This window comes from Homo sapiens, chromosome 15 (genome assembly GCF_000001405.40).
Source record: "Homo sapiens chromosome 15, GRCh38.p14 Primary Assembly".
Lineage (NCBI taxonomy): Eukaryota > Metazoa > Chordata > Mammalia > Primates > Hominidae > Homo > Homo sapiens.
In genome coordinates, this window is record NC_000015.10 from 70,354,736 (window position 1) to 70,363,538 (window position 8,803).

Here is an 8,803-nt window from a genome sequence, read left to right on the forward strand (position 1 = left end):
CAGTGAAGATGAAAACGTCTGCCTCTGGAATTCCAGCTTCCCCTTTTATTAAGGCAGAGGTTCTCAAAGTGTGGTCCCAGAACCGCCAGCAGCATGGCCCCTGGGAACAGGTTAGAAATGCATATTCCTGGACCCCACTCCTTGCTAAGCCTGAACTCTGCGGTTGGGGCCCAGCTATCTGTGTCTTGTCAGGCCCTCCAAGAATTCTGATGCAGGCTCCAATCCAAGAATCCTGCTCTATAAAGTCTCCTCCACACTCCAACTCATCACACACCTTGAGTTTTCAAACCTTGTGTTTCCTCTCTGTCAAAAAATACTTGACAAATCCAGATAACACTAAGGCTGGAAGTTTTGGAACAGAGGATGAAATAGCAACCCTCCACTCAACACTAGAGATCTGCGTGGCAGCTGATGAGAAGGAGGGTCTTTTGGGGGCTGGAGTGGGCTGAAGGAGCACTGTCTGCCCCAGCTCTTTCTGCTTTTTCAGAGTACTGGGACAGGAGAGGTGGAAAAGGTTCAGGGTGTGTATCTGGAGCTGGAAGGCCTGGGCTCAGGTCTCCACTCAGACCCGTGCCTGCTGTGTGACCTTGGGCAGGTCATGTCACCCCCTGTACTTTTTAGTTCCCTCTTCTGAGAACTGGGGACAATAATAGGATGCATCTCATAGGACTGTTGTCCGTGAATAAATGGAAAGTTCTTGGGACAGGCATCTGCTCCTCTCATGGGGACCACCAGGTGTGCTCTCGAGCTCCCAGCAGCTCCCCTTGGGTCCAGGCGCCTACACCTCTGTCCACAGCCAGTAGATATATGTGAGGATGTGTGTTCTTGCTGGCCAGTGTGGGGGTGCTCCTGTCCTTGGAGAGGCAGAAACTCCACTGCATGATCTTGAGGATGGGGCAGTGGCTCCATCATCATCACTCTCACCCTGGTGGGGATAGCAGATCCCTGCACTGCTGGTCCTGTGGCTGTGGTCACCCAATGGTGGCCCCGACAAGTAGCCCTGCTGCCATATATAATTCCCCAGAGGAGACAAGAGAGGAGAGAACAGGGGTAGTGGAAAAGTAAGAATGGATATGAAGAAGGAAGAGAGAGAAGCACATGGAGACAAAGAGAAGGATATGGGAAGAAAAAGAGGGGAGGACTGGAGGAACAAAGGCATGCAGAGATGGGGAAGATGTGGAGATGGACGAGAGAGAAAGAAGAAAGGGACGAGAAGGCGGGGCTCTGCTCCTCTGCACCAGTCCATGCTCTGCAGTCTGTGAATTAGCCAGGCTGTGTATGTGAGTAGAAGACCAGCCTCTCAGAGCACCTGACCTTTGAGAGAGGCAGGTGAATGCCTTTACCCTGATCTTGGAACCTGAATGTGGCCACACCAGCCTCACCTTGACCAAGGAGCTGGAGTGTGGCTGGTCAGCCACTGCCCACATGTCCAGAAATGGAGGCTGAGGGGTCCCCTATGAGGAGCTGTGCCAGGAGCAGGTCTCACGCAGGGTGAAGGAAGCTGGCAGCTGTCTCTCCACATCAGCCACAGGTTCCGGTGGCACCAAGTTTCCCCTCCCTGCCCTACCTGGCCATCTGCCCTGCTGCACTCAGGCCCAGGCCTCTGGGCTCACTAGAGGACCTGCTGTGTGGGTCCTGACATTGCTGCCAGTGGCTCTGAGACTCTCCTGCCTGAGACTGCCACGTGTCAGCTCTACCGTAGCTTTTGCCTGCAGTTTGTGGAGTGAGAGGTTGTGTCATTTGAACAACAGCAGGTCATGGGGAAAATGCCCAGGCATGGCAAGAATCAGGGGCGCCCTCCAGTAGGGCACAAGGAGCACACCTGTGCAGTTGTTTACATATAAGAGCCCCTGCCAAGGGGCTCAGGGGGTTGCTCACCAAACAGGCATCCTGGAGTAGGCTGCATCCACCCGGGAGAGGGACCCGCTTTCTAATTGTGCAAAGGTGCCTGATGATTTGGCAGAACCCTGGATTCCAATAAGTGCTGTGCTAAATCTGGAGAAAGCCCAGCCTGCCCCTCCTGGACACCACCACGCAGCACTTTACAAAACATCTATGTATTCTAGTCCGCACCCTGGGTGAATCTAGCCTGCAGAGTGGTTTGTTTTTTTTCTGTTGTCATTGTTGTTTGTTTGTTTGTTTGTTTGTTTTTCCTATTCAGGTTCCATTTCTTTCATTCAGTTGAAGTGCCTTGAGAAGGGGATGCACCTTCTTGTAGGTCGCAGCCGCCTCCTCTCCCTCCTGTCCCAGCCACCATCCCTGCAGGCCCTGGCCTCTGACTCATCTCCTAGAGCAACCGGATGGCCTCGGATAGGCCCACTGGTCTTTGGAAAAGTCATGAGGGACACAAGCAGATGTCCAGCTCAGCTTTGTGGTCCTGGCCTGGGCAACCCCCTGCTCCCTCAGAAGAGGCCTCTGGGGAGGAGGGGTCTACAGGGAACAGAGGAGGGGGTGGGAAAGTGGGGTGGATGCAGGAGAAGCCAGGGAGGTTTGACTGGCTCAAGAGGTAATGGCGCTGTCTGGAGGCCAGGACGCTGAGATCTCTGGGATCTTTGACCCTCGGAGACTCTGCTCCCCAGTTTGTTCTCCCTGTTCCCCTCTGGCCATTTCCCTGGAGATGTTAGCAATCCAAGCCCTCAAAACACAAAGGCTTGTGTGTTTGCCTTCCCAGATCTGGACTGTATTCTGTGTTGTGGGGGAGGGGATGGCTTTAGTTCAGCGCGAAAGCTCATTATAACCCCAGAAAGAAAGCAGGGGTCAGTGTGGGGGCCATCAGGGACTGAGGGGAGGCACTGGGGGATGTGTGCAGGGGGTCCCCATGCCACCCAACCCTGGGCTGAGTGGGCCCCTGCAGACCCTGGGGACGCAGACTGTCCCACCCCAGACCTGTGCTCACACCACCCCTCGGACACCACTGGGCAGACGGGCGTTCTATGGGCCCCCGCTCTGTTGATCCAGGCCAGGCTGATGTGCAGATGGGTGATGGCAGTGATACCATGCCTTGTCCCCTCCCAGATCGCCTGCTCTGCCTGGTGGGGGACATAAAGCCTTACCCAGGCATAAAGATTCCTAGTGTTTGCCAGATGCTTCTCACTGTTACCTGGATGCATTTGTTTTCATTTTAGTTATACTTTTATTTTTAGTGTGCATGAGAAAAATAAAATGAATACATCAAACAGTGGTTAAATGGATTTATGGCCTAGGATGGAACTAAGTTAAATGTTAGTTGATTTAAGGAAATACATTAAGTAAATAATAGTACAGGTGGTAGACAGATAAAGTTAAAAAATGTGTTGGAACGCAAAAGGCTGAAGTTTGGTGAACTCTTTGTTGTCCCAGGCAAGGGTGAGGCTCCCCAACTGCACTGTGCCTTGTCCCATCTTATCCTGCCCTGCCCAGTCCCTAACACAGGCTCAGCCCAGGAGACACTGAAGGAGACTGGCTTTCACAAACACAGAGGACACCACAAGCCCCAAACTTGCTCTGGGGCAGAGCAGCTGCTGGGGGTGGGGAGCAGTTTATGTGGCTTTTGTCCACATCTTTTCTCCAGCAGCCTTCGATCCACCCTTTCAAGGGGTGCATTTAAGAAAGCTGGATTCCTAGGGAGGCACCACAGTCTTGCTCCCCCCAAAACAGAACTGGAGACAACAGAGCTGCAAATAAAAAGAGGCTTTGGAAACACACTCACTCTGAACAACCCACTCCTTAGGAGCCAGAAGGTCCAGACAGTGGCTGGGAGACCTCCACGCAGCCCCTTCACCTCTCCTCCTCCATCCAACACGATCACATCGCCCATTTTGTGCTGAGTGGGGAATGAGAGGATGCATGAAATGCTTTGGGAAGTCCAGGGTGCATGGCAAGGGTTCCGATTTCTCCACTCCCTGCCACTGCCTGCGGGTCACCCTTGCCCACTCTGCTCCACAACCCAGGGCTCCTGGGATTCGGTGGAGGGAAAAGCCCGTGAAGGGGACAAATGGATGAGGAAACAGCCCCTACAGCCCCTCTCAGCAAGATCAGCGCCGCAAAGGTAAACTGCCCACAATGCATTAGCTGGCTTTGTCAGGGAAATTGCTTTAGCCTAGCATCATTTTTTATGTGCCTGTTCAATAAAATAATTATTGATAGCCTCATCCATTTAAGTCACAATCAAAATAGCAGCCAGGATGGGGCAGCCCTATATTATATCACCAGACCGAGAACTATTTTCTATAAATTCACAAATACATTCACATTTAGGTGAAAAATTATGCCGTCTAGGATCAAATATATCAGAGGCTGGGAGCCGGGAGGGAGAGGGCCGGGGTCTGAGGGCTTCTTCATTATTCATTAGTGAAACACGCAGGAGCGGGAGGAGCAGCCCTGTGCCTGCCAGTGGGCATCATGGATGGTAGAGAAGAGATGCCAGTCCCCACTGGAGGCGAGCGATGCTGGCCCTATCTGAAAGCCAGGCAGGCAGAGAGCACCAGCTTTTCCAAGGAGGAAGAAATGAATACGTGTGAGTTAGGAGAGAAACCCATGATTCCCCAGGTGTTAAGAGCTGTGTGCCAATTATCCAGCAATTATCACCATCCAAGATGGTGGGGCAGCTGCAGAGAGAAAAGAGCAGTAGGGGTTGGGGGTGGGAAGGTGGAACCTGAGCCAGGGTAGAGTGAGAGCGAGTGGAAAAGAACAATGGCCAAGCATTGTTGTGTACCAGGCCCTGTGCTGGGCCACCAGTCGTCTCATCGATCCCTCCAATGGGCCACTGCTGAGGCGAGGGCCTGAGGCTCAGGGGGGGAATTCACTCCTCCAAATGTGCACAGCTTGTAAAGGGCAGAGCTCGGCTTTCTCATCTAATCTCTCAGAGGCCAAGTTGTGTTCTGGAAGGGCCTCATTCAATAATTTATTGGTAGGTGTGGACTGGAGTTGGAGGCGTTCAGAGTAGGGGCAGAATGGGGATTGCTTGTTTATTAAGGTTTCTTGTCTGCTTGTGTGTTTGGAGAAAAAATGTGCTTGGCCAAAGCACCAGCACTACTTTCTGAAAGTGAGAAGGTAAGGGAATTCGGGAGAAATCAAGAAAACAGCTAACTTCTGCATCATGGAGGTGGTGTGGGCCTGGCTGGGTGCAGGCTGTCCAGGGCCAGGCCTAACTTATCTGCAGGGCTTTCTTCAAAACCCCATCCACTTAAGGATAACCCCAGCAAAGGTCCCTTCCTGGTCTGCCTCTCCACCCCACCTCTATTTTTAATCGCTTTCCCTCCCACCCCCATGCCACCCCCACCTCCCACCCCAGGAAGCTCCTAGTGCTCATGTACCAGTGCAGATGGGTTCTCTCTGCCCGGAAGTCTGCATTTTAAATGATTTCTAATTATGACTTGAAAGGCTCTGACTCTGGAGATGGGATTTCAGGAGTTGGCAAAGTATTCTAAGGTCTGGAGATGTCTCCCCCTTGTTGCCCCTAAAATCATACCCTATAGAGCACTGTCTTCCCACTTCTGTTCAGGGCCAGTCCTGAGCCTGTGCCTTCAGTGACACACAAAGTTCAGGGGTTCTGGTGTTGGAGGCATAGATAGGAAGACTTTGGACAGGGAAACTCTTAAAGCTTGCTTCCTGGTACTTGACCCTCCTCTTGCCTCCTTTAATTAACAAGAGCCCATTTCATTACCTGTGATCTTACCTGGCAAGGCATTTTACTTGTAGGATTTATCTTGGAAAATCCTGGCCTCATGCACAAACAAACTCAGGTCTTAACCTGGCCCTGAATACCCATCTTTCCTGTTTGGAGAACTGTCAGCAGCCTCATCAAAATGATGGGGCCCCTTTGGAAAACAGCCTGGCCGTGCCACAGATGTTAAACACAGAGTTACCACAGGATGCAGCAATTCCTCCCCTGGGCATAGATACCCAAGAGAATGGAAAACATGGGCCCACACAAAGGGTTGGAGAAGAATGTGCAGAGCGCCATTATTCATGATAACCAAAAGTGGGAACAACTCAAATGTCCATCAACAAATGAGTGGATAAACAAAATGTGGGATAGCCATACAATGAAATAGCACTCAGTAAAAAAGAATGACGTGTTGATTCATGGCACAAAATGGATAAACGTCGAAAACAAAGCGAAAGAAGCCAGTCACTAATAGACCACATATTGGATGATCCCACTTCTGTATAATGTCCAAAATAAGCAAAGCCATACAGATAGAAAGTAGATTTACGGTTGCCTAGGGTTGAGGTGTATAGGGAAGAATTGTTAGAAGGAAATGAGGAGTGAGTGCTAATGGGTATGGGGTTTCTTTTGGGGGTGATAAAAAGGTCCCCAAATTGATGGTGGTGATGGTTCCATACTTCTGAACACACAGATTGTACTCTTTAAATGGGTCAATTGTATGACATGTAAATTATATCTCACTCTGTTAAAAGCAAATAAAGATTATGCCCATTACTTGGCTGCCAAGGCCTCTAAAACCTTGCTCCTCCTGATGGCAGCCCTTCCACCTGCCTTCCACTCATGCCCACAAACCTGATGCCTAGTTAGCACCCATCCTCCAATGACCCACCTTCTCAGCACGGCTCGCTGCTTCTGCCCACACCAGGGTTGGAGGGTGGTTCTCCACAAGCCTCTGCCCCCTGATATTCAGGGCCAGCAGCTTCTCTTCTTCAAGGCCTGTTGCTCACCCCAAAGGCAGCCACACTCCTCAGGATGTCCATCTTTTAGGAAAACCATGTTTAGGGACTTGTCCAGAGTCCCAGCCTTCTGCAGCAGAAGGCTGGCATTTGTGACTCTTTTTTTTTTGAGACAGAGTCTCGCTCTGTCGCCCAGACTGGAGTGCAGTGGCTCGATCTCGGCTCACTGCAAGCTTTGCCTCCCAGGTTCACGCCATTCTCCTGCCTCAGCCTCCCGAGTAGCTGGGACTATAGGCGCCCACCACCACGCCCGGCTAATTTTTTGTATTTTTAGTAGAGACGGGGTTTCACCATGTTAGCCAGGATGGTCTCGATCTCCTGACCTCACGATCTGCCCGCCTCGGCCTCCCAAAGTGCTGGGACTACAGGCGTGAGCCACCACGCCTGGCCATTTGTGACTCTTATCTACTGGATGAGTAGCCTTCCGTGGCAGGCACTGCCATGAACCACAGGCCAGAAAGAGAAGGAGACCTTCCCAGTACCACGTGGTTGGTCAGGGGATGAACCAGGGCTGGCCCTCCGTCCCTGGGCTTTCCATCGACGGTTCCCCTCTACCATCACTGGGCAAGGCCCCTAAAAGACAGCCTCGCCCACCCATTGGCTCCACGACAGGCAACTTTTTACAGATAACGACATGACAGCCCCTGCTGGAATTAAAGCAGGAAGGTTGGGGTGGGGAGGGCAGTTCCCCCACAGGCTTTCGTTGCTAGGCCCTCTGCGGTGTAATAACTCTCCACACACCTGTCCAGCCCAGCTGTTACAGAGCACTTTCCCACCATTAACTCGTGCCTCTGGGAGATGCGCAAATGCCAGCTCGATTTGGGTGGTGGAAGGTGGGTGGGGAACCATCTGAAGCTTAGGCCTGACAGATGCAGAAGGCTCCAGGCAGGGTGGAGGTAGCCTCTGGGGAGCCTATGGGTTCCCCATAAATGTCCCAAAGTTGGGCAGATGAATAAGGGTGGGGATGCCACTGGGCTCAAGCAGGTCAGTCTCTTTTAGGGTCAAGTATTGGCCACCAAGGTCACTTGGCCAGCTTTCCCCCAAGCTGATTTGATATCCCAGGCTCCAGGTCAGATTCCAGTTCCAGAGTCTCTGCCCTTCTGAGATGCCCACAGCAGGGAGCAGCCACATTGATCCAGGAGGGCCTGACCCCAGCTGCATTCTCCATCTATCATCCAGAGGGCACACCAGGTAAATACGCCCTCCCTGAAGCCAGGAGATCCTGAGGCCTCCCGGAACAGGATGTCCATACAGTGATTGAACAAATGCCTGTTTACACAGCATCCTCGCTGCAGACATTGCTGAAACAACCACATCAGGCTCCCTGCAGCCCCCCTGGATTGAGGTCTTTGACCCTCTGGGCTTGGCTAGAAGGGTGCAGTGAAGGTACAGTGTGGCTGTGTAGGGTATGTCTCAAATCACAAAGGCATGCTGGGGAGAGAGGTGGGAGTAAGGGGCTCCTCCTCCCAGGAAAGGCAAAGGGCCCAAGATGAGCCCCAGACATCCTCTGCTTGAGGATGGTCCTCTCCATCCCAACTAGGCCCAGAAGGCAGGTCCAGATTCAAAGACAGGTGTGGAAAGGAGGCGGGTCCACCTGCAGGGTCTATGGTCTTTAAGGGAAAGACCATAGATGGGTGGCCCATGATGGAGAGGGTGGACACAGCAGGGAGACCCAGGGCATAGCGCTCCCAGCCTGGAGAAGGAGGAGAGGAAGGGAATCTTCCCCCACCATGTGGCCATGTTGGGCTGCTGCACCTCCTGGCCCACCAGCTGGGCAAACGCTGGGGCTGGCCTACCACGCCGGGAGCCAGCCTTTTCCCGGTGTAGGGCACCTGTGTACAGAGTGGCTGGGGCCTGGATGCACATTAGGGACATCCCCTGCATTGGGGTGGGGCTCACTCCATCATAGGAACACGGGTGTGCATCCACACATGCTCACAAAAACACATTCATTCAAGAAATATTTATCAATTAAAAGCTTTCTAGAGACAAATGAGAATGAGAACACAATTTACCAAAACCTATGAGAGACAGCAAAAGCAGTCCTAAGATGGAAGCTTATAGCAATGAACGCCTATATCAAAAAAGTAGAAAGATCTCAAATAACAACCTTACCTCATTCCTCAAAAAACTAGAA

The 8,803-nt window shown here is 52.1% G+C and overlaps 1 annotated feature.

Annotated features, from left to right (window-relative positions):
- Positions 7,275–7,774: an enhancer, noted in NCBI's record as "H3K4me1 hESC enhancer chr15:70654349-70654848 (GRCh37/hg19 assembly coordinates)". NCBI's record gives its function as "activates a minimal SCP1, AML or CMV promoter by ChIP-STARR-seq in naive H9 embryonic stem cells {active_cell/tissue: H9 hESC(naive)}" and the evidence as "EXISTENCE:reporter gene assay evidence [ECO:0000049][PMID:30033119]".